The sequence below is a fragment of the Homo sapiens genome, chromosome 4, assembly GCF_000001405.40.
Source record: "Homo sapiens chromosome 4, GRCh38.p14 Primary Assembly".
Classification (NCBI taxonomy): domain Eukaryota; kingdom Metazoa; phylum Chordata; class Mammalia; order Primates; family Hominidae; genus Homo; species Homo sapiens.
This window is the reverse complement of record NC_000004.12, coordinates 36,494,974-36,521,754: the sequence shown is the minus strand read 5'-3', so window position 1 is coordinate 36,521,754 and position 26,781 is coordinate 36,494,974. Positions and strand designations below refer to the sequence as shown.

At 36.6% G+C, this 26,781-nt stretch overlaps 1 long non-coding RNA gene and 1 pseudogene across 1 annotated transcript in view, besides 1 other annotated feature; one reads left to right on the top strand and one right to left on the bottom strand.

Moving 5' to 3' along the window:
* LINC02505 (long intergenic non-protein coding RNA 2505) overlaps window positions 1-25,218 on the top strand; it is a 145,364-nt gene extending 120,146 nt beyond the window's left edge. Inside the window, exons 4-5 of the long non-coding RNA NR_149124.1 lie at window positions 23,267-23,328; window positions 24,703-25,218. This is a non-coding gene — a long non-coding RNA (long intergenic non-protein coding RNA 2505). The remainder of the gene's footprint in view (window positions 1-23,266; window positions 23,329-24,702) is intronic.
* Window positions 7,642-7,811: an enhancer, noted in NCBI's record as "experimental_78504 CRE fragment used in MPRA reporter constructs". NCBI's record gives its function as "activates a minimal promoter by MPRAs in K562 erythroleukemia cells, with activity observed for the non-introgressed 4:36515651 variant allele {active_cell/tissue: K562}" and the evidence as "EXISTENCE:reporter gene assay evidence [ECO:0000049][PMID:34662402]".
* Window positions 12,815-15,189, bottom strand: LOC100130532 (F-box protein 38 pseudogene; annotated as a pseudogene).
* Window positions 25,219-26,781: the final 1,563 nt, after the last annotated feature.

Sequence of the window (26,781 nt, the reverse complement as noted above, 5' to 3'; positions counted from 1 at the left end):
TATCTAGCAGTGGGATTGCTGGATCAAATGGTAGATCTACTTTTAGTTCTTTAAGGAAACTCCATAGTGTTTTCCACAGTGGTTGTACTAGTTTACGTTCTGACCAACAGTGTAAAAGTGTTCTCTCTTCACCACATTCACACCAATATCTATTATTTTATTTTTTGATTAAGGCCATTATTGCAGGAGTAAGGTGATATTGCATTGTGATTTTGATTTGCAGTGAAATGAGACTTTTAAATGGCATAACAATTACTACAAATTATGATCTCAGTTATGTAAAATAGAATTCATGGAATGAGGAATGAGGATGCCCTGAACCACTTAGTGTTGTCATAAAGGAATACCTGAGGCCAAGCAATGTATAAAGAAAAAAGGCTTATTTGACTCATAGTTCTAATAATTGAAAAGTTCAAGATTGGCATCTGCATTTGGTGAGGGCTTCAAGCTTCTTCCACTCATGGCCAAAGGTGAAGAGCAGCTGGTGTGTGTGTGCAAGAGACCACATGATGAGAAAGGAAGCAAAAGAGAAATCAGGGAGGTGCCAGGCTCTTTCTAACAACAAGCTTTTGCAGAAAGTAATAGTCACCCCTGAGGGAGGACATTAACCTATCCATGAGGGATCCAGCTCCATGACCAAACACCTCCCATTAATCCCCACCTCCAATATTGGGGATCAAATTTTAACATCCAAATGGTTTAACATCCAAACCATAGCATAAGGTAGTGAATCATACTAGGTGTTTTTACTCTGTTTACTATTCTTTTATTATATTCTAGGTTTGCTAAATGGAGTATGTTATTATTTGATTTTGTATTTGGAAGAAAATGAAAAATACATATGAAATATATTAAATAAGTTGAGGACTTCGAGGGAAGTGAGACAAAAATCAAACAATGGAGAATATCTCTTGGATTCTTGTGTGTCTTCTTTCCCCAAGAAATAGTGAGAACTAGACTCTTAACTGATTCCTAGCATGTGCATGCTATGGTTTAAATGCCCTCTCCCACACTCATGTTGAAACTTAGTCTCCCATGTAGTAAGATTGAGCATTAGGGCTTTTAAGAGATAATTGGGTTATGAGGTCTTTGCCCTCATGAATAAATTAATTCATTCATAGTTAATGGATTAATAAATTAATGGCTTACTATGGGAGTAGAACTGATGGCTTTATGAGGAAAGGAAGAGAGACCTGAGCTAGAATGTTAGCATACTCAGCCCCCTTCGCATGTCATGCCCTGTGCTACTAGGGGGTGCTGCAAAAAGCCCCTAACAGGGCTGGGCGCGGTGGCTCACGCCTGTAATCCCAGCACTTTGGGAGGCTGAGGCGGGCGGATCACAAGGTGAAGAGATCGAGACCATCCTGGCTAACACGGTGAAACCCTGTCTCTACTAGAAAATACAAAAAAATTAGCTGGGTGTGGTGGCGGATGCCTGTAGTCCCAGCTAATTGGGAGGCTGAGACAGGAGCATGGCGTGAACCCCGGAGGCAGAGCTTGCAGTGAGCTGAGATAGCGCCTGGGCAACAGAGCGAGACTCTGTCTCACAAAAAAAAAAAAAAGGAAAAATAAAATTCCCTACCAGCAAGAAGACTCTCACCAGATGCACATCCTCAACCTTGGACTTCATGGCCTCCAAAAATGTAAAAAATTAATTCATTTTCTTTATAAATTACCCAGTTTCAGATATCATGTTATAAGCAATATAAAGTACACTAAGATAGTACCTGTTGTACCCTGTCACCACAGAAGTCTGTCCAATCTGAAATCCTTGCTTCTCTGCTAGAGGAGGTGCAGTCCTGATCTTTGTGTGCTAGATTTCTTCAAGGTGCTCCATCATCTCATTAAAAATATGTAAGACACTCAGGAAGCACCCAGAGATTCTCGTTCCACCTCACTGGTGCTTGCTGCAGTGACCAGTGCAGCTGGAGAGCCCAGCCAGTCCTCCAAAGTGTGACTTTGTGCCAATCTCCTGCACTCTAAGTTCCTGACCAATAGACTCCTCTTTCCATATTGGGTATTTTTATTTTTATTTATTTATTTATTTGTTTTTGAGATAGAGTCTTGCTCTGTTGCCCAGGCTGGAGTGCAGTGGCACGATCTCGGCTCACTGCAAGCTCCGCCTCCCGGGTTCACGCCATTCTCCTGCCTCAGCCTCCCGAGTAGCTGGGACTACAGGCGCCCGCCATCACACCCGACTAATTTTTGGTGTTTTTAGTAGAGACGGGATTTCACCATGTTAGCCAGGATGGTCTCAATCTTCTGACCTCGTGATCCTCCAGCCTCGGCCTCCCAAAGTGGTGGGATTACAGGCGTGAGCCACTGCACCCAGCCCTATATTGGGTATTTTAAAAAACATTTATCATCAAAATGAATAAGATAAACTAGAATTGAATGCAATTTTATTGACTTTTCATCATCCATCTCCTTTTGTGCTAGAACTTCCATTTCTTAATGGACAAAATGTACTTAAAATTTCTAACTAAACATGACTTTATCACATGCAGTTTACAACAGTTTCTTTCCAGTAAATATTCAGTCATCTCAAAATTTAAACTCCTTATCAAGCTTATTTTTCCTCACTTGAGGGCTGCCTCATCTTATCCTCATTTACAAAATCCTGTGTCTGAATATAGGGAGAAGTATGTATAACTTCATAGCATTGGGTACGGGGCTGACCTCTGTGTGCCATCTTCTTCTACCTCAGGAGACTTGGCATGTCTCTGTGATTTAGCCTCTGTTGTTAACGCACTTTCTGCTGAAGCGTCCATGAGTCATTTACTCATGGTCTGTTCTCTTTGAGAAGGGCAAGACATGGTGCTTTTCCAGGGAACTTGGCCATATCTCTCTGACTAGGCACCCCATTTTTGCTTTGACTGGTACTTCGGATGCCCCAAGTTACAGCAATGACTCTCTTGCAATCCAAGTTTGGAAAGTGTGATGGCCTTTGCTCCAGGGTCACTTCATATTTCATGGTGGTTATCTCTGATGAGTTTTCCAGCCAGCTCACTAAAGCCCACTAGGGAGGACTCAGTAACTTCTGGATACTCTCATTCCATGAAGTATCTGAGAAGACTGGCACTCAACACCTATGTAGTCACCTCCTTCAGCCATTTCTAACCTACTTTCCTGTGTCTTTTTGGGTTTGGCACCAGGCTGAGCATGTAGCTTAATGGTGGACTTTCCAGGTAAATACCCTGAATGAATGAATAGCAAGTTTGTTACCCTGGAGTTTTTTCTTCAAAAAATGTAAGCCTATGATTCCTTTTATTTGTAACACACCTTAAAGAATTCCAGCCTTTTACTCAAAGAAAGAAACCAGTTAACTAGTGTCTGTTTTTTTCACTACACTATTGATTTCTCCATGGGTATCTGTAAGCAGTAGATAGGCTTATCTACTGATGATAAGTAGAAAGGCTGTCAACTTCCTCTTCATGATGGTTGAATGTTTCTCCATGTGGTACTCTCTTCTACTCTATGATGCTTTTGTCCCTTTCGTTGGTCAATAATCCTCATGGTCTTGCTTTATTGCAAAGGGGCTGCTGAAGAAGGAAAAGAACAAAACTGGATTACTGAAACAGAAGATGCACTGGGAGTTACTCCCACACCATTTGCTCATACTTGAGTGTCTTTTATGATTGTTACTTCTTTAGCAAGATAATACCTTCCATATATTTATTTAAAATGTTAAGTAGTGATTAAGCAGTCTAAAGTTACTATTATCATCCTCATTTTATAGATATTAAAAGTGAGGCACAGAGGTGAAATTATGTATCCCAAATTTCTTAACTAGGAAGTGTTATGTCTAATATTCTAACCCAGGCTTATCTGAATTTACAGCCTTAGTTCTCGACTTCGTGCATACTGAATCTTCATGCCTTATTATGTATTCTGTGTCTTCTACACATAACCTAGTCTTCTGGTTAAGAAAATGGGGAAAGGGATGAGGGAAAGTAATTTCAATGCCTTAATCCCCATAATCAACTCATTTCTTCAGCCACATCACCCAGAAATACGCAGGCAAATAATCCCAAGGTGTTTGTTCATGACCTTGATGTGCCTTTTCCCCAGATGATAGTTATATTTACTCCTTCTTTTCAGAATGTAACTCCTTCAACTCTTAAGGAGACCTGTATATATTCCTTCCATAAAGCCTCTGGGTAGGTGTTCAAATTTTTGGCTTATACAAAGATTTGCTTAAAGCCTCCATATTAGAAACAATAACTAATTTGCATGGCTTGTTGCAGAAACAGTATGAAAGTCCTCGCTCATCCTTTCTCCCTTCCTCCCCTAATGCACAAAAACAGGAAACAAAACTGTAAAAAAAGATGGAAAAGATGTGAAGAAAAAAGGAAAACAGCAGAAATGGAACATTAACCAAGTCACCTATTTGAACCCATTTTCCTCAACACTCTGGTTAAGGAGAAGTTGATATTGAAAGTTAATTTCAGGTGTCTACCTATAGATATAATTTAAGGTCTAATGGTAGGTCAATTTAGCAATTTTTTATAAGTAAGTCTGGTCAGGACAAAGTTGGTATGTTATTCTTCAAAATAAGTCTTTTCTCTCCAAGTTTAAATAATATTTCTAACCAACTCTGTTGCATAATTTTTTTCCTAATTAGTACACAGGTTATAATGTCCATTCTCTTAAAATTAAGGTGTGTTAATAAACCAGAAGCCAGTGTTAAATGGGAGCAGAAAAGATCTGAATGATGCAGCATAAAATAGGCATAACATCAGGACTTCCACTGAATGTATTTTAAACACTTCTATGTTTAAAAGCCATATTCTACTGAATGTATTTTAAACACTTCTATGTTATTCAGCAAAGTAAGAAGTAGGCCGTTAGGTGATGTCACCTTATAGTGACATTTTGAAAAATATGTTCTAGCGAAAGTAGAAAGAAATTTCCTGCTTTCATATTGTGCAATTTGAAATACCCTAAATCAATAACTTGAACCTCTTAACTTGTAACATCATAAGAAAGGACACTTAACTGATTATTTCTCAAAATAACACAAGTGGGGCCACTTTATCCAAAGCACTCAATAGTCCCTTCCTACTTCAGCTAAAGTAGGATTTGATTGCTATGCAGAGGAAAAGCACTGGCTTTAGGGAATGCCACATCGTAATGTATCTTTTCTCTTTCTGGAACCCGTTTACTTTACACTTTTGAACCCATTTCTGTATTGCAAGCCCAGACATAATCAAGTTTCACTTGGCTTTGAGTCTAACCTTGACAATCGTATGTTCATATTGATTTTTGTTAATATGACCTTGACTTGGTCATATTCTGATATTGCCATCTAGAAAAGTGTCTTGTTGTAATTTGGGTTATATTTGCTTACTGGTACCAAGAGAAGATCCAATTTTATATTATCCACTTCCAAGCTCCCAGCATTTAATTTCCATTAATATTCTATATAATCACCTTTTAGGCTATACAGAAGATACAAAGAAAAATGTAGAATCTCTTCCCTCAGAGATAAATCACATTAATAGTAAAGATTAAAATGTCTGAGTTTGTAGTTTTTGAAGAAACAATGTTTATCTGTTTTAAGCAGGATATCAGATACCCTTCCTAATTTCCTGAGATGCCAAGGTTGGGGGCTGTGAAACCAGAAACTGTGCCACAGATCACACTGAAGTATTGTTTGTGGGGAGATGCTACTGCTACCACAGGGCCAGACACTGTGGCTTGTGGCTAGAGTCCTGAGGGTGATGCGCTGTGGATTCTCCAGCCTGAACCTCTTGCACTGTTTCTCTGGAAACTAGATGGGTTGCCATCAGCTTCACCGAAATGGTTCCCACACAGAGCTTCCATTTGGACCTCATTATCTTCTGATTCAACATTCAGCACAGATGCATCTGATTGGCAGAGCCTAAACTATGTGCCTTCACCTTAGCAGAAAAAGAGACTGGAAATTTCACATAGAAATTCCTCTCTTGGTAGAATTCCTTCCATGGCCACTTCCTACTATGGAAGTCCAGATATTCCCTAAAATTCTGGAAAAGAGTTTCTGAAGAGGAATGACTAATATTCGCTGGACAACACTAAAGCAAATTAAATGTAATCACGCAGTATATTACAGTATAAAATGAAATGTTGAATTATGTGACTCAAATTATTTATTCTTTGTGGTTTCAAACAACAGCAGCAGCAAGACTCTTAAAAATAGTAATATTACCTTAAAAAAGAAGGAAACCCAGTCACTTTTGAAACATGAATGAACTTGGAGGAGATTGCAATGACTGAAATAAACCAGACACAGAAAGACACATACTGTATGATCTCACTTATATAAGGAATCTGATAATGTTGAACTCAGGGAAGTATAGAGTAGAATGTCAGTTACCAGGGACTGGAGTCAGGGTGGTGGGAGATATTGGTCAAAATTTTAGTTAGATAGGAGGAAGAAGTTCAAGAGATCTATTGTAAAACGTGGTGACTACCGTTAATAACAACATACTGTAGTCTTCAAAGTTTTTGCTAAGAGAGTAGATTTTAATTCTTCTTACTACCAAAAAATAAGTATGCAAAGTAATGTAAGTTAATTAGCTCAATTTAGCCATTCCACAATGTATACATATTTCAAAACAATATGTTGTGCACAATAAATTTATACAATTTTACTTATCAATTAAAAATAAATTAAGAAAGTTAAAATAATAATATTAATTGAAAGATTACCATATTATACACTTCTTTTAGGCACTATCTCATTTAATCTTTGTAACAAGCATATAAATGATACTATTATAATCCTCATTTTAGGCTAACCCCTAAAGAAGTCCACAGTCTCATCACCAAAATCTGTAAATATGGTGTTCCCCCCCATGGCAAAAAGGAACATTGTTAGTGTGATTAAGTTAAGAATCAAAAAATGGGGAGATTTTCCTGAATTATCCAGATGGGTCTAAGGTAATCATAAGGGTCCTTATAAGAGGGAAGGTCAAAGTTTAAAAAAGGAGATGATAATAAAAGTGGAGGTTGGAATAATGAACTTTGAAGGAGGAAGGGGCCAGTAGTAAAGGAAGACAGATGGTCTCCAAAAGCTGGAAAAAGCAAGGAAACAGATCATCCCCTAGAGCCTCTGGAAGAAAAACAGCCCTGTCCATTCCTTGATTTCTGTATGTGAGATTCATTTTAGATTTCTGACATCTGGAACTGCTAAGACAATAAATTGTATTGTCTTAAGCCCCTAAATTTGTGACTATTTGTTATAGGATCAAAGAAAACTAATACAACTCTATTTTACAGATGAGGAAAACAGAACTTAAAATTTTTATTTCTTTACCTCATTTCTCATAGCTAATGAGTGGCAGGGCCAGGATTTGCAGTCCTGTTTGCCTGATGCCAAAATCTGCTCACCCACTTCTTGCTCCATGCCCTTGACTAAGCTATAGGCATTTGTTTTGGTGAAACAGATATTCTTGGGGGCAGGAGAAAGGAGAGAGAGTCTCATGCAATTTAGATGACAGAACATTAAACATTGATCAAGTTTCAATGAACAAAAAGGGATGAAAAGGGTTTTCCAAATGAAGTTATGGAAGTTATAGAAAGAGCTCACTACTATAGCATTTTAAATAGGCAGAAAAAACCCAGAATGCTGCCTAGTAGCTGTAATAACAGAATATACCAAAGTATGAACCTTTTGGGAGGAAGGGGAGCTGCCTTTCCCCTGAGATACTTCTACCTGAAGGTACACCACCTGGAGTAATATTCTTGGCCTCTCTATGCTTCAGAGACAGGAGTAGCTTCCTTGCTTTAGAAGTTGAGAAGTAGCTTATTTTATTAGTAAGTTTGGGAGAGGAAATGTGGATGCGTAGCTCATACTCTTCTTCTTTGGGGACCCTGCCTACCTGAACATAGTGGTGTTGTCAGCATCTCCATGACATAACTTTTTTTTTCTTTTTTTGAGACGGGGTCTTGTTCTGTTGCCCAGGCTAGAATGCAGTGGCACCATCTTGGCTCATGGCTCACTGCAACCTCCACCTCCTGGGTTCAAGCGATTCTCCTGCCCCAGCCTCCCCAGTAGCTGGGACGACAGGTGAGTGCCACCGCTCCTGGCTAATTTTTAGTATTTTAGTAGAAACAGGGTTTCACCATGTTGCCCAGGCTGGTGTCAAACTCCTGAGCTCAGGCAATCCACCCACCTCGGCCTCTCAAAGTACTAGAATTAAAGTCCTAAGCCACCACGTCCAGCCAACATAACTTTCATAGCATCCAGCTTCCACGTAAGAGGCATCCATTGTTTAATGCTGCCTGAGACTGAGGGGAAAGTTGTCCTTAGACTGACATGTGGTGTTGAATCCACTTCTATCACAGATGTGAAGGAACGTTCTCCAATATAGCCTTTCTCATTGATAAAGGTGATATTTTCCTCCTTTCCCTTTTGATTAAGAAATCCATCTTTAAGTGCTTTTCTCTCTCTCATAGTTTACTGTTAGCATTCAATAGAAGCCAAACTGCACCTTCAATAATTTGCTTAGAAATTTCTTCAACCAGACCAGGCGCGGTGGCTCACACCTGTAATCCCAGCACTTTGGGAGGCCAAGGTGGGCAGATTACCTGAAGTCAGGAGTTCCAGACCAGCCTGGCCAACATGGTGAAACCCCGTCTCTACTAGCTGGGTGTGGTGGCACACACCTGTAATCCCAGCTACTTGGGAGGCTAAGGGAGGAGTATTGCTTCAGCCTGGGAGGCGCAGGTTGCAGTGAGCCAAGATCGTGCCACTGCACTCCAGCCCGGCTGACAGAGAGAGACTGTCTCCAAAAAAAAAAAAAAAAAGAAGTTTCTTCAGGCAAGTATTCTGTCTCTCACAAGTTATTCTTTTCATAAAACATTACAACATAAACACAGTTCAGCCAAGTTCTTTGACAATTCATAACAAGAATGACCTTTCCTTAAGTTTTCAATGTTCCTCATTTCCATCTGAAACCTCATGAGAATGGCTTTCATTAGTTGAAAGAGTGAATATGTTCTAGATATAATTATTGGACCTTGTTCCACCTAATTCTAATGCCCATGCTTCATGTTATTCTGTTTATTAAAAAATTGTCTTCAAATGTTTCCTTCTGTGTAAACGTTTTCCTCATACCACCCCCGCCCCCCCCCACAACCGCCTCAGGGGGCTATGTAGTGATGTAGGGTACTGTCCAGGGGAAAGGAAAAACAATAATTATACATTCTGAATTGTAATTTAATATATTAAGCCTCATTACATAAAAAAATGTATTCCTCAGAAAGTTACTTGGTATCATCTGGCACAACATAGATAACAGCTGTTCATAAAACCCTGTTTAGTGAGCTTATTAGTACTTAAACAACTCACAGTTTCATGGTTTATTAACTGTAGAATTTCCTCAGAAAGAGGAACAATTCCTCCAACTGCTATAGAAATACAATTAATATACTACAAATAGGATCAATCTGAAAAGTATTTAATTTATATTAAGCTGTTACTAAATATATTTTGAGCAAACACATACCTGAAATCTTTTAGTGTACTAGACATTTAGTGTATATCAGGTATTACAAACTTTAAAAGGGAAGACTTTGACCTTTTAGTAGAATTATGTTGCACTGCTACACTGTGGTCTTTCTTACTGTAATAGCAGTAACAATAAAATGAAATTAGAAACATTAACTCATGTTTGCTCCGTGTAATTATTTAAAATGTTTTTTAATCTTCTCTACTTTTTCTAACATGTTCTGAAATTGAGAAGATAAGCATTTATTATCCACAATGTTCAGAATGTCTAATTCCTCAAGTCAGCAAAAAAAAAAATTCAGATCTCTTGAAATTTCTTTTTTTATTATTATTATACTTTAAGTATTGGGATACATGTGCAGAATGTGCAGGTTTATGTGTATACATGTGCCATGGTGGCTTGCTGCACCCAACAACCCATCATCTACATTAGGTATTTCTCCTAATGCTATCCCTCCCCTGGCCCCCCACCCCGCTACAGGCCCTGGAGTGTGATGTTCCCTTCCCTGTGTCCATGCGTACTCGTTGTTCAACTCTCACTCATGAGTGAGAACATGTGGTGTTTGGTTTTCTGTTCCTGTGTTAGTCTGCTGAGAATGATGGTTTCCAGCTCCATCCATGTCCCTGCAAAGGACATGAACTCATCCTTTTTTATGGCTGCATAGTATTCTATGGTGTGTATGTGTCACATTTTCTTTATCCAGTCTATCATTGATGGGCATTTGGGTTGGCTCCAAGTCTTTGCTATTGTGAATAGTGCTGCAATAAACATACATGTGCATGTGTCTTTATAGTAGAATGATTTATAATCCTTTGGGTGTATACTCAGTAATGGGATTGCTGGGTCAAATGGTATTTCTGGTTCTAGATCATTAACATATTGGTGATCAGGCCATCAATAAAGTCATTAGAATGGCTGAGACTGCCTAAGAATACAGTATTAAGAAGGTAGAGAAGATGGCCAGAGAGAGAAACACAAATGATACCAACACTTCAAAGGTGATGGGCTTCCGGAAGAGAATAGATTACTTGATTAAACAGTGAAAAAAAAATATGGTAACCATTGGAGAGTTTTAAGGAGATCAAGCTAAACTTCAAGAAGATAAAATAAATTAATGACTAAAAAGTAACCACTGTATTTATCCATTAGATCATTGGAGACCTTAACAAGAATAAATTATTATAAATAGAGGGCTATTGTATAATCCTGACTCCACCAGGTTGACTGGTAGATGGGTGATGTGAGTGGTTTTACTCAGTACAGATTACTATTCTGAAAAGTGGAGATAATAAAGAAAGTAAAGATAGAGTCAAAAGATGGTGGCAGAAAAGTTAAGCAAATTGAGAGGAACATGTAAGTAGAGAGAAAGTGAAGACAGATGAATGAAGGTATAACTGATTAGCAATGTTCTAGGTGGAGACAGGAGAAAATGAGATCACGGTCGTGACTGGAGGAAAAAACCCATCTCTGGGACTGGATAAAATAGAATAAAGATGATGTATTTGTTTGCTAGGGCTGCCATACCGAAGTATAATTAACTGAATGGCTTAAACAATAGAAATTTCTATTTTCATTCTGGATGCTAGAAGTCCATAAGGTTTGGGCAGTGTTGCTCTCTTCTGTGGCCTTTCTCCTTGACTTATAGATGGCCATCTTGTCCTAGTGTCTTCTCATAGTCTTACCTCTACACATGCTGTGTCCACATTTCCTCTTCTTATAAGGATATTTTTCATATTAGGTCATTAGTCATATTCCTAGTAACCTCATTTTAATTTACTTATTTAAAGATCTTATCTCCAGATGTGGTCACATTCAGAGATAATGGGAGTTATGACTTTAGTATACAAATTTTGGGGAGATGCAACTCAGTCCATAAAGATGGGTAGATACTTCTAATAATTAAATAAAAGTCATATTGAATATCTAACCAAATGTTTAACACATATTTTTAAAGCATGCTTATAAAATGCAGGTTGCACAATTGGAATCATAGGAGCAGAAAGACTATGGAAAGTAGGTCTTACAGCTAAAGAATATTCAAAACGAAGTTTCTGCATTCAGAGGACACAAGAGATTCAACCCTGAACATCTCTGCTTTTCTGCTTTCAACCATATTTCAAATCTGCTTTCTGGCAATAAACACTGATTGTTATTGGAGGTCACGCTTCAGGGTACGTAGTATAGAGTCATTGACAAATTGCTTCTGTGCTGTAAGGTGAAAATGATGAAATATTCTGCTATATCTCAAGCATTGTTTCTTCCAGTTACATCATCTTTGAAAACATCAAAAAGCCTAAACAGTTGCTAAGAAGAATATATCCAATCCTCTGTATGTCTATAGGGATTGTCAAATTTAATGATTTATTTATCTTTCACTCTTCATCAGATTTACTGAGCTTCACTCTATAAGAAAAATATACAGATTTAACGGAATGCTTATTAAGAACAGAGTAAATGCAGACTCAGTCAAAAAATGGCATTTTATCAACTGTCAGAAAATATGAGCAATCTTTCAAATTATCTGCCTTCATTAAAATCAATTTTTAAATTAAATTATATAAACATATGGTATAAGGTTATTCCTTTAGGAAATGTCATTTTATTTCCTCTATGTGTAAACCTTTGCATACAATTTCAATGCTCCTTATGCATCTTCTGTATAACAAACTGAGGCAGGACCTCCAAGCTGCATGACTCGAGTCCCTGTGGAACACAGCAGATCCTCAAATAACACTGTTTTGTTGAGTGTTGATTCCTTATAACATTGATGATAAAACTAAATAAATCGATTACCATTGAGGCCACTGTCTGTGTGGTGTGCACATTCTTCCCATGTCTGAAGGATTTTCTCTGAGTACTCTAGTTTCCTCCTACATCTCAAAGCTATACACGTTACAATAATTAGTGTGTCTCAGTGGTCCCTGTCTGAGTGAATATGGGTGTGTGTGAGTGCACCCTGTGATAAGATGGCATCTTGTCCAGGGTAAATTCCCACTTTGTACCCTGAGCTATAGAGAGAGACTCCAGCCACCTGCAACTCTAAACTGGAGTAAGTGGGTACAATAATTACCTTGCTTGTTTTTATTAATCTGTCTTAAATGTCTGTATAGCACACGCTTACTTTAATGTTTAATATTAGAAGTGTTTTGCTCTTCATTTAGAAGTTGGTGATGTTTTTGTGACCAGAAATATGCTGTAGGAACTTAACTCTTGTTTACATCAATTAGTCTATGTTAAAATTTGCTTCATTGCACCTCATTTTGATTAAAGTTACAGTTTCCAAGAACTTATCAAGACAGTAAGTGAGGATTTACTGTACTCTGGCTGCTGAATAACCCTGGCTGGCATCTGCTTTCTGCCAGAATTGCTGGAAAGCAGAAGGAACCAATCAAATGTAGTCATTTCAATTGGCTCTGCATTAACACAATATTGGATGCAAATTGCCACCACTTGCTCATGACCATTTTCATGGGCTGGGTCTTAGGAATTTCTTCTTCTATTATTTTAATACAAAAATCTACAGATAGTTTCCTTCAAGGAGCATGGACGGTGTTCGCTTCACTATTTTCAAATTCATATAGGCAAAGCTGTTGGACTCTGCAGCTATAGTGACCTCAGCCAGGAAGCTCCAACCACAGCACTTTCTAAATATACATTTTTCATTCCCAGGGGTACTCAGGAGCAGTGAAAGGGAAGTGATCTTCATTTTAAGTGGCTTCATGGAAGTGTTCATACTTAACAAATGCTTGATTGATGTTTTCTATTGTGTCTATTCAGCTGCAAATCCACTCTTTGTTCCAGATATTGGGAGGGTTACTGAATTCATGGATAATACAGATATGATAGACAGGGGTAGAGACCACTGAATAACTTCTGCTCCAAAGGTAGTGCGTTTACCTGCTACATTGGGCATAGGTATATGATATGATTTCTTTCAGGAGGCATCCTTAGTATCTAGTCTAATGTGTAATCCATATTTAGTTTTTTGTATTGTACATAGTCAAATTAATTTACAATTTGTGCATTTTCTATTTTTAGATGTTTCAGTAACTTGTGCCTCATAATATGAATGAATCTCATCTTGAAACAGTTTTTCAGCACTAGATCTGTGACTTCATAGTTTGTCATAATTATTTCCACAAGATTTTTGGATTTTAATACAAAGACATGCACATGGTCACCCTTTATCACAGGATCACTGACACTGATGGGGTTATCTGCCATCTACTTCGGCTTCATGGCATGGTGTGACTTTGTTTTGGCAACGTCTGACAATGCTATGGACTATACTGACTCTCTGATTTGTAATTTAAGCTCAGAGTAATTGACAAGCACCCTTCTTAAGAGTCCAGACTTCTTGAAGTTCTAGGTTGTCTTTTTCATCATCACTCTGAATAATGAACAGTAACTGATGTTGGTTTTACTCCATACTGAAGACTACTGGGTCCTGCTTATTTCTCATTAGTATTCACAAAAATAATTGCCTATTAGCTGGAGTATTACTTCCACTCTCAGCCACCACCTCTCCATCTTCTTGCACTTGTCTTCCATCTCATTCAACGTGTCAGGTGCAAACTGCTGCTGTCCTGGTTGCAGGTCTTGCTGAAAGTCATTGTCCTCATTTGAGTTATCTTTGTGATGGCAATTGTTGTCTTGGGATGTTGGCATTATTATTCTGGGCATTATTATCGTTGTTACTCTTGGAGATCTATTTGCTAACAAGGGCCAAGGAAACCCAAATTCCTATGCCTGCACTAAAGCAAACTCAAGTATAGCCCTTGAGTGGTTGACGAAACAATATAGTCCAGTCAAATAAACTCCAACTGGGCAACAATTCAATAAACTGGCCGAAGGAATCAGGCTTCAGTATATGGCACTGAACTAGGCTGATATTAACCAATCAATTCCATCTCGAGTGGTCTGAGATCCAATAGTATGGTTTATATAGATAAGACAGTTATAAATTACAGATATTTGATATAGGAAAAACTTCATTGATTACCTTTATTCCTATAATGATGATGATACCAGGATATTCTACCACATCAGTCAAACCATACTTTACCAGATCTGCATCAGCCATTCTGCTCTGCAGCTCACTCATCTACATATCCCAGATGGTGGGTTTCACACTTGTAGAACTTCAACTCTGACATCTTAATGAAAAAAAAAGACATAACTGTTGGTTCAGGAATGCTGGATTCAAACTTTATGTAAGCTACAGGGCAGTGAGGGTGAAGAACTAAGATCTTTTTTAAGAGCATTTTTGCAAACTCCCCAAACAATACTGCACAAATTTCTAAAATCATGTGATCTCTAACTGCCTCCAATTACATATCAGATGAGACCTACAATGAAAGGAACTGGAACCATTTCTAGGTGTTCCTAGTTTCAGGAAGAGGCTAAATATGTTACTAAAAAGATGTATTTTCAGGAATTTAAGGGTCCTTTACATTTCCTCATGATGAAAGATCTTAAGCTGATGCACAGAAAGCTTTTAAACAGCAGTGGTTTAGTAACTTTTAACTACTCCAAATAGAGGTGTCTGAGGGTTGAACTATAAAGAATTTCAGGAACATTTACCCCTACTAAACATGAAGTTTTTATTCTGGATCTCATAGAAATTTTCAGTTTATTTTCAGGAGGAGTCAGAAATGATTCATCATTCATTACAAGAATTTCCCTAAAATATAACCCACAGCGGCAGTAGGTTATGCTGTAGGTAACCTACAGAACATGTGCCATATTTGTCCAAATGGACTCTGCCAACTACAAATGAGAGGTTTCCACATCTAGTAACTTTGGATATGCTTGCAAAGCTTCTAGGACTCCTAGAATGCTAAATGTCTCATGGTCTTGTACTCTCCACCTCTCAAGGTATCTAGGGTGAAGGCCATGTAGTTGTTTGATGTCTGACATCTTATTAAAGTGTTGGAAAACTGGAAATCTGTAAAGCCACTTGGGATGTATTTTCACCACCACTCTGCACAGGACCCACAACCTTCACAACTCTCAGATACAAGGACATTGCTTTCTTTAGCTTTCTGAAAACATTCCATACACATGATATCCTACAGAAGGAGGTAATTAAAAATAAGGCAATGCACATCAGGTGAAAGTTGATTTACATAGTCCCTTAGTTCATCTGATATTATTTCCAGGGGGATTTCATTATACATGAAACACCTTTTAACATTCTTCTTTCATGGCCCTATTGCTGCCTTGTCTGTAGTATCAAAGAGCACATCTTCTCTCTTGGTTACTTGAGTTCAAAACACTTACACTGGCCTTCACAGTCTGTTACTGTGGTTGAGAGAGAGGGAGAAATGTGACAGACACTTCTGGTAGTACTCACCACCTTGGCTCCAGGGATTGGAAAATCTAATATAATTAGAAGGCACATAATTTTTAAGGACTAGCAATAAGTAATTTTGACAAAGAATAAATTTATGCAGACAACTGTGGAGGCAGTATTTTAGAAAAAAGATTGGATTGGTTAAAGGAGTAAATCTTCAAAATACTTCCCTTTTTCTTACCTATATTTACAAGAATGTTTCAAACAAAATGTTTCATTGCTATCATAAAACATGTCTCTTCAAATATTGTGTGTAAATTTGGTTCTAAAATTCATTTTAAGTCATTTAAGCCACTAACGATCTGTGCTAAGATGTTCTTAAAAGAAATTGGGCATATTTTCAATATTTGGGGGAGAAAATTAAAGCAAATTTTTAAATAACCAACACAAAATTCCAGGTTCTCATGATAACAGTTATATTAGACTCTATTTTTTCTTCTTAAATAAGCTTTATATACATTTTACATGCATAAAACATTTACTCCATGAACATAGATTTCATCTGTCTAGTTTATTGCTAATTCTCATTGCTAGACCAGTTTCCGGCATTCAATAGTCACTTAATACATATTAGTTACACAGATGTTCGCCAAGGGAACAGAGTTGCTGGATAATGACTTAGAGTCATTTTTTAAAAGTGATGACTTGGAATTATTATGAATGCCACTATAGTATTTAGCCAGAAAGCAGTCTTGCTTAAAGTGTTTTGGATGTAGGAGAATTTCGTCCTCCATTCAATGGTGCCAACTTGCGATATTTTATCTTTTATATTTGAGATTTTGTCTGTCTGTTTAGTTTTATCCCTTTATATAGAATCTTAGATACCAATTCTTGATGTTCTCAGCAAACATTTCTGGCAATGTCAATAATGATCTTTGCTGTCCTAAAATCTCTTAGAAGCCGTAAAAGCAGACACTGAGCCTTTCTTTTCTACCCTAATCTCCAGTGCCAAGCCCAGCACCTGGATTATGGTAGACAATTCATAAATATAGTTGAACTAAGTAATAAGTGTATCTTTGGAGGACAAAGACTACCAGAATCAGTCATCCTTCCTTTCATTTAGAGAAATCCTCTAATATTCCCTTTGTTTTATTTTGTATCCTTTTCAAAAGTTTTTTTTTTTAATTTGTCAATACTATGCATTTGAGAGAATGGGGGGATGGATTTTTTCCTTGTATTTCTTCAAACAAATGAAGCTGTTCTAAAAATTTTCAAATGTGATTAGAATTTGACATTAGGTTTATAATGATATTTCTATTTAGAATTGGCACAGATGAAATCACACATAATCCTTGTTTTGAGTAAACGTATTTTATAAGAAGAATAACTAGACACGCAGCCACTGAGAAGAAAATGTCTTCTTAACCCATAATAGAGTTTATTTCTTTATTTTTAAGTACTTCAACTTGACACGATTATCCTACTTGACAAAAATGAAAATGTCTGCAAAAAATATACAAAATAACTCATAAAAATAATTTATGAATAATGTTAGTTAATTATAAATAGCCACTTATTTCCTGGAAAAAAATCTAAATTTCCATGCAAAAATGTAATTCCAAATTCAAACTTTACAATTTAAAAATCAATTTTGATATTTTACAAAATAATTACTAATTATTAAGATTTAATCAAATTGCCCTTATAATGAGTGAAGAAATCTATGATCTGGTCCCTTATTTGTTTCTTTCCTACATTTCACAAATGTCACTTGGCCTGGTTTTCTAGAACACAAGTATTTTCCTATATTCATTAATATGACTGTTAGAACATATTTCTAACTTGGACAATTTCAAAAGTATTTTGAAGTATTCCACATGGAACTAATTAGTAGCTCATGAGGTAAAAGTACTGCCATATGACTATATCTTGTACACCAAACTATAAAGAGTAATTACTGAATCAGTTAAATAGCACATATAATCTGTATGCATTGTTTTTTTTAATTGCAAAGGACAGCAATTTCACTGAGCTAACTAACACACAATCCCCAAAACTGAGAATTTATTTGAATCATGCTGGGGGAATACCATTAAAGCCAAGGAAAAAATTAAACTGTGATGGTATTGTAATAGGAGCTCCCAAGACCTCAACAGCAGAACTTCTGAAACTTCCAACTGGACCTTTATGGACGTAAGTTAGCTCCCAATTCATAGCATCGCCTTTTCCCCTTCCTCTAAGTTGAAATTTGTGAGCACATCCATATGCACACGAACATTCAAAAGAAAGAGGGAAAGACAGACAGAGAGACAGAAAGAGATGGAGATTTGAATGGTCCACATTATTCAGATGTCCACACCTCAGTCAGTCAACTCTTGTCTTGGGGCGGGGTCACAGAGTGAAACATGTGGCCTGGTAATTACAGCTAATGTTTGTTGACTATGTACTGGGCACTAAATACTGTTCTCAACACTATCTATGTTCTAACTCATTTAAGCCTTTCAATGACTCTAGGGTCTCTTTACTATTAACCCATTTTACATATATACAAGCATATATAACAATAAGTGTCTTAAAATGTCCTTTCTTGCCTAGGAAAATGAGAAGTATTCAAAATCTTTGATTTATGTAACATCTTATGTTCATCTGTGAAGATCTTAGACATTTCTTTCTAATAATCGTTCAGGTCAGATTATACTGCATGAGTATCTTTGTTTTACACATGAAGCCACTGAGTCAAAACAATTGTGTGATCAACAATGGCCACAAAATTAATGCATAATAGAATAGAGACTAGGACGCCTAGGAGAGGTCTGGAAAACACTCAAAGCATGTGGCCTGGGCCTTTCTTTTCACAGACTAGTAAATTTACTTTTATTTTGACAAGATCTTCTATAGTTTATTAATAAAATTAGGAAAAACACATTAAATATATGAAAGAATAAGCACTTGACACATTAACAATTAAGCCTAATACTTTTATTTCTTGGGTTTCCTGATACAGATCTATGTACATTCAATCAGAAGGCTTCTATCTGGAAAACAAAGAAAATTATATTTTTGGACAAAAATTTGAGGAAATAAATATATCATAGTACCCTAGGTCTGATATACTCATTTCTCCCAGCCAATCCCAGCCCAAATGTTAGTTTCTTATTAAGTAGACCAGACCATATTTACTAGGTCAATATGTAAATATTAATAGCAAAAGTTTCAAAGTGAAACCTAAACCTTACTGTGGGCATTGGAAAACATAGTATAACTCTAGGCCCTGATGAATGACTGAACATACAGTAAGGAAGAAAAATAAGGTTGAAAGAAGGTGGAGAGAAATACATAGTACTACAGAATGTATGTCTCAGAGATTAGAACTCTGATAAGCCTCTTAACTGAGCCTGAGACCTGAAGGAGACCCACCCATAGCAAGAACATGGAGAAACTCCTTTCACTAAATGTGATTCACTGAAAGTTCAATTGTGAGTCATAAGCAGCATTACTTTTATGTCTTTGTGACAAAGGCTAAATTTAAGAGAGATTGAGTATAGAATATATTTCCATTTCTTTGTGTCTTATTCAATTTCTTTCATCAATGTTATAGTTTTCAGTGTAGAGATCTTTTACCTGCTTGATTAAATTTATTTCTAAGTGTTTTTTGTAGCTATTGTAAATGAGGCTCTCTTATTTTTCAGATAGTTTTCTATTCATATATAGAAATGCTATAGATTTTTGTATGTTTATTTTGTATCTTAAAACTTTACTGAATTTGATTATTAGTTCCAAGAGTTTTTTTAGTAAAATATTTAGGGTTTTCTATATACATGATCATGTCATCTGCAAACAGGGCAATTTTGCTCATAGATTGGAAGAATTCATATTGTTAAAATGTCTAAAGTGATCTGCAGATTTGGTGTAAGCAATATCAAAATAACAATGATATTCTTCCACAGAAATAGAAAAGTACAATACTAAAATTTGTATGGAACCACAAAAGACTTCAAATAGCCAAAGCAATCTTGACCAAAAAGACCAAAGCTTGATGCATTATACTTCCTGACTTCAAAATATACTACAAAGCAATAATAAACAGAATAGCATGGTAGTAGCAATAAAAATAGACAAATAGACCAAAGGAAGAGAATAGAGAACACAGAAATAAATCCATGACCTTATAGCTAACTGATTTTTGACAAAGTTGCCAAGCATGCACAATGGAGAAAGGACAATCTCTTCTATAAATCGTGTTGGGAAAGCTGGATATCCACATGCAGAAGAATCAGAAGAATAAAGCTAGATTTTTATCTCTCACCATATTAAAAAAATCAAATCGACCAGGCACCATGGCTCATGCCTGTAATCCTAGCACTTTGGGAGGCTGAAGGGGGCAGATCACCTGAGGTCAGGTGTTTGAGACCAGCCTGGTCAACATGGTGAAACCCCGTCTCTACTGAAAATACAAAAATTAGCCAGGCATATTGTTGCATGCCTGTAATCCCAGCTACCCAGGAGGCTAAGGCAGGAGAATCACTGGAACCTGGGAGGTGGAGGCTGCAGGGAGCCAAGATCACGCCACTGCACTCCAACCTGGGCGACGGAGCAAGATTCCATCTCAAAAAAAAAAAAAAAAAAAAAGTCAACTCAAAATGAATTAAAGACGTAAATGTAACACCTGAAATGATACAAGTATTAGAAGAAAACAGAGGAAACACTTTATCATATTGGTCTGGGCAAGGAATTTTTGGATGAGATAAAAGCACAAGCAATGAAAGCAAATGTAGAGAAATAGAATTATATCAAACCAAAAAGCTTTTGCACAGCAAAGGAAATAACCAATAGAGTAAAAAGACAACTTACAAAATGGTAAAAAAAATTATAAACTATGTATCTGACAAAGGGTTAATATTCATCATTAATAAGAAACTCAACAGGAAAAAAATAATATAATAATAATCCAATTTAAAAATGGATAAAAGACCTGAATAGACATTTCTCAATAAGAGACTTATAAATGGCCATAAGGTATATGAAGAAATGTCCAGCTTTATTTATTTATTTATTTATTTATTTGAGACGGAGTCTTGCTCTGTCGCCAGGCTGGAGTGCAGTGGCGGCATCTCAGCTCACTGCAACTTCCGCCTCCCAGGTTCAAGCGATTCTCCTGCCTCAGCGTCCTGAGTAACTGGGACTACAGGCGCACGTCCCCACACCCAGTTAATTTTTGTATTTTTAGTAGAGACGGGGTTTCACCGTGTTGGCCAGGATGGTCTCCATTTCTTGACCTCGTGATCCACCCTCCTCGGCCTCCCAAAGTGCTGGGATTACAGGCGTGAGCCACTGCGCCTGACCTAAGAAATGTTCAGCAGTATTAATCAGTAGTAAAATACAAATCAAAACTTTAGAGAAAAAATCACCCCACACCTGTTAGAATGGCTATTATCGAAAACATATAAAATAACAAATGTTGGCAAGAATGTGGAGAAAGAGGGACTTATACACAGGTGGGAACATAAATTAGTCCAGCCATTATGGGAAACAGTATGCAGATTCCACAAAATATATAAATAGAACTACCATGTATTCTAGCAATCCCACAACTGGGTTCATATCCAAAGGAAATGCAATCAGTATGCTGAAGAGATATCTACACTCTCATGTTTATTGCCACACTCTTCACAATAGACAAGAAATGGAATCAAGTATCCATCAATAGATGAATGAATAAAGAAAATGTGGTATATTCATACAATGGAATACTATTCATCCATAGAAAACAATAAAATCCGGTCATCTGTGGCAACATGGGTGAACCTGAAGGACATTAGGTTAGGTGAAATAAGCCAGGCACCAAAAGACAAAACTGGATGATCTCATTCATATGTGGTATCTAAAAGTTGATCTCATAGTAGTAGGGAGTGGAATAGTAGCTACTGGGACCTGGGGAGAGGAGGAGAGATGAGAGGATAGGGATTGGTCAATGGGTACAGCATTACAGATAGGAAAAATAAGTTTGGTGTTCTATTGCAGAGTGGGTTGACTAGGGTTAACAATATTATATTGTGTATTTCAAAATAGCTAGAAGAGAGAATTTTGAATATTCTCACCACAAAGAAATAAATCTATGAGGCGAAAGATATGCTAAATACTCTGATTTGATTTTACATATTGTATACATGTAACAAAATATCATACTGTACTCCACAAATATGTATAATTATTGTATGTCCACTATAATAATTTTTTAAATTAAAACAATAAAAAGCTTAAGTAGAGGATATTCTCTTTATTTATACTAGACACAGCCTATCTTTGGGGAAACTTAGGTCTAGGAGAACATACACCTGATGGGTTGAAGAGGGATTTTTATTAGTAGCAGCTGGCTCTATCACTGGGTAGTTATGGTAACAGCAGGAAACTAAGATCCTTACCAAGAAAACAAAGTGAGAAGAAAAACGTAGATGCCCAGCATGCATTGAGACCCTGCCATATGGGCATTCCCAGTATCATCACGGGGCTAAAGTCCTGGTTTGGCAGATGAGGTCACAAGTCCTTTAAACGTCAATTTACATATGGCCGTTTTCACTTTGCAGGATTTTCTCTTTCAACCACTCCGGAAATTTTACATTCAATATCAAGTGATGTGTCTTATTTATATCATTTATAACAAGAATTATCTTGTTACCTACATAATAATGATTAACATTCAGGAATTTTATTGCATTAAGGGCCTGGTATGCATAATATATGATTGGGGACATTTATGGCAAAATCTACCCCAATGTGGTCTCTAAATTACATTTCAAAGAGCAAATCTCTACGCAGTCTCCATCCTTACTTTTCATGTATCATATGGTTTTAAAATGTTGTGATTAATTCTAGAAAAATGAAACATTATTTCTGCAATGGAAATGTTGACAATGATCTTTCTTATTGAAATCTCTGCAATTTCAGATTAACTCTACAGTTAATAACATCTTTGTGTAGAAGAAAAGATTCTTAGAGAAGGGCTCTTCCGAAGGTTACATGTTTTATTTTTTAATACATCTCAGCTTTTCTGAATTCTCCTGGCAATCACTGTAATATAAAATATGGATTTCACAAACAGAAACAGAAGCTCAAACTCATTTTTTCTTTTTATATTAGTTCTGCCAAGTCCCTGATGCTTGCCATAGGAAAGAATCTATATGTTTTTCTTGTAAAAGCTATCAGTTCAGTCCATTCCCTCAGAAGCCTTTGTTACTCCATAGACACATTTTCTCATAGGATAAAAGATGAAACTAATGTTTCATCACAATATTATAACATAATTTTAAATCATTGTAAATAGGTTGGTGGTGCTGGGGAATGCAAGAATAAAAGGTTAAACGTTAAAGAATTTTGTACCTTAACCTCTTGTTTCTTGAAAATTGAATGCATCTTTTTTTGCCTCATTAAGGTTTCATCCATTCAACCATTTATTCACTTATTCTTACTTTCCTAGAAGCATTGATTGAACATCTTCTACATATTATCACCACCCTAGACACTACAACAACAAAGAAGGTAAGTACTTAACTACAAAGAGCTCAATACAATCATTTCTAATAAAGAACTATGAAAAAATTGCTGCCACAACCTGGAAGAGCCATAAACCAGGCCTTGTGGATGGATTCAGATTTTCCTATATGGAAACAAAAGAGCTACAAAAGCTTCTCTTTCCTGTGCGCAACTACCGTCTTTATTCAATGAAGACACTTAATTGTCTAATACTGCAGGCTCTCAAAGTGAATATAAAGAAGTCATTAACAATAGAGATTAGAATAAACTAAAAACAAAAATAGTAAATTCAGAAATATTTCTTTAATCCTTGCATGAAAGTCATATTTGATATTATAATCATGAAATAAATCAAATCATATTTCCCCACAACCCACATTATGTTCCTTCAGTTAAATAGATACTTAGTAGATGTGGTCATTAACAGCCATTACTTTAAAAACATACTGCATTTGCATTTAACAGATGTTTAGTGAGTGCCAAGTGTTGAAGGTATTATTTTGGAAATTAACATTTATGATGGGAGATTCATAAACTGTTGTTTCAGCTAGAAAGTGAATCTCTTCTAGATAATTGATAAAGCATAGAAAACATATGTGTGATTTTTGTACCCAAAGATCAAATTGGGTTTTCTTCTATTTTCTATTTCCTGTGCCTACATAATATTTCTCCCTAAACTTCACGATGTTGAAATAGGATATTTAAGCCTCTGGGTGTTCATAGACTCCTGAACTAATGGGACTTAACTTGGCCAACTGGCCTTTTATTTTTTCAAGTTAATATTATTCACCATAATGTACTCAGTAAAATAGAGGTACAAATCTACCCAAAGATAATAAAAGTGACTGTTCTTTTGTACAATTTTGCATTAACAAATATGGTGATTAAAAAACAAATGGGTGATTATAAACACATAAACCCACATTAAGAGACTATGAATAAGGCTGATATATTTCACACTGTGCTTATGTTGTAATATCTTTAAAATTGTCTTTAGGGGCACTGGAGCCAGAGCACATCCTTATAAGTTAGGTTGCTGATATTTTTCCCTAAGAGATTTGATGTTCCTGCTGTCATTCATCCTAGACAACTAAGACCTTGAGCTGGCAAGCTTTTTTAAAAGCTGGAGAGTAAACTTGCTCTATGGGTCTTGGTGGAAGCGGGAGATAGAGAAGAGAAAGGAAACCTTCCAGACTCTAAGTGGTTTTAGATGTTAAGGGGTGGGAGGGATACTGTGATCTTCCCTAAGTGACATAGAACTGATATAAACCAAAGAACTGGTCTAGTAAGAGATCCCAAGACAGATCTGGAATTGGCAGTAGTTTTTGCTTAACTTATTATTCTCCCATATCATTTTACCTACCTTCTGTTTCCTTAAAGTCAATACTAGTTTCAATTTGTGGAAAGCTGGAAATGCGATGATTCCCATGCCCTGAGTTTCTGCTCCAGACACCAGGTGGGGGCATGGCAATTGTGACTGGAGAGAGTGGAGGGGTCATCTTATCCACCACATCAGAAGCTGAGGTTAGGATATTGTGGCAAGAGATGAAAAGTGAAGTGATGTGAGGAAACTTCATCCTGAATTCAACTAAAGCCCTGGAATACTTGTTCAAATAACCAGCTGACAACTTGGGGTTAAGCTGTCTTGAATTTAACCTGTTTAGCTCAGCCAATACAATTATGAAATAAAAAGTTAACAGTCTACTATTTTGTAGTCCCTGGATAAAGAGGCCTAAATGGTATCCTGTAAAGTTATGCAGAGTACTATCTGCATAGATCTAGTCAATGACCTTGGCTAGTAGCATCATTTGGTTTCCAGCTTTATGTGCATCAATTCTTCTTTATATGCAGTAGTTAATTTAATGCACCATATATCTTATCTCTAACTCCTTGGGAAACATTTGAATTTAGTTATTTTCCATTCTACTATTGAGAATCTGTCTTCACAAGTCACATAGCACTGTTACAAACACAAATCACTTGGCGTACACAATCCAAATTAAGTATACATTTTGCCTGTGTTGCTATTTCATGGTAAATTTTATTTTCCATTTTCTTATTTTCATTTTCTGTCTTTTATTACCTTCTGATGACACTGAAATGCCTAAAGAAGTAGATAAATATCTTGTTCTAACTTTGCTGATTAAAAAGAAAACAGTTAAGCCTTGTACATTTCACAGTAATGAAGAAAGACTCACAAACATTTTATCAGGTCTGAAAATTTGTCACCAGATGTATGTGGAAACTGTCTTGGTGAACCTGCCTTCATGCAAATTTGAAACATCTTATTAAACTTAAAAATAAACATTGTCTCTTTTTCTTATTTATTAATAATGTAGTTTTGTTTTATGATTCAAATTTTCTTTAGAAAGTGGCTTTATAATTGCACAGGAGACAAGAATTAATTCTACTGGGGCTTTATATCAAAATGCTTCATTTCTAAGTGGATGATGTTTTCGGTGTATGCATCTTGTGCCTATTTTTTGTTAATGGTATAATCTATCTTTTCCTCAATTTGATAGAGGAAGCTGGCAATTAAGAATCTAATTTTGTATTTTCTTTTGCCAAAGCTTCCTTCCATTTTAACTCATGAATTTTTTTTTCTTTTTTTTTGAGATGGAGTCTCTGTCACCCAGGCTGGAGTGCAGTGGCATGATCTCAGCTCACTGCAACCTCCACCCTCCGAGTCAATTCTCCTGCCTCAGCCTCCCAAGTAGCTGGGATTACAGGTGCCTGCCATTGCGCCGGGCTAATTTTTTGTATTTTTTAGTAGAGATGGGGTTTCACCATCTTGGCTAGGCTGGTCTTGAACTCCTGACCCCTTGATCCACCCACCTCAGCCTCCCAAAGTGCTGGGATTACAGGCGTGAGCCACCGCGCCAGGCCGAAATTTTTAACTTAACCCACCCGAACCTACATCCCCATCCCAAACATTTTTGTTTCTCTGGGTTTTCTTAGCCTTAGCCTGTTTAAATGAGTAACCGTGCATGTTCATTATACAAAACTTGTACCCCTTCTGGTAGATGTCCAAGTGGAAGCTGGATATTCCTATCTTTTGCTTGTCAGGGTACCTTCCAGATGACTGCTCGCTTCATATTCTCTTCCTTTAACACTTGTGTTTTTTTTTTTTCCTAATTTAAAATTATTTTGACCTTTTGGTAGTCTAATTTGCTTACTCTAAAAAAATAAACTTGGGCTTTGAACTGCTTTTAATTGTACCTTTTGATTTTTCCATTAATGTTTTTTAATCCTCCCCAACTGCAAATGCTTAACAAAATTGTAATAACCTAGATATTGTTAACCATCAAAGCCCTATTTAATTATTCATTTGACCTCCATTTCCCTCTGCCTTTGCCATTCAGCCATTCTAAAGTACATTTTAGACACTTCAGAATTTAGAGTCCACTCATTTCAACCCGTTTATATTCTTCCTACACAGTCTACATACATCTAGAAACT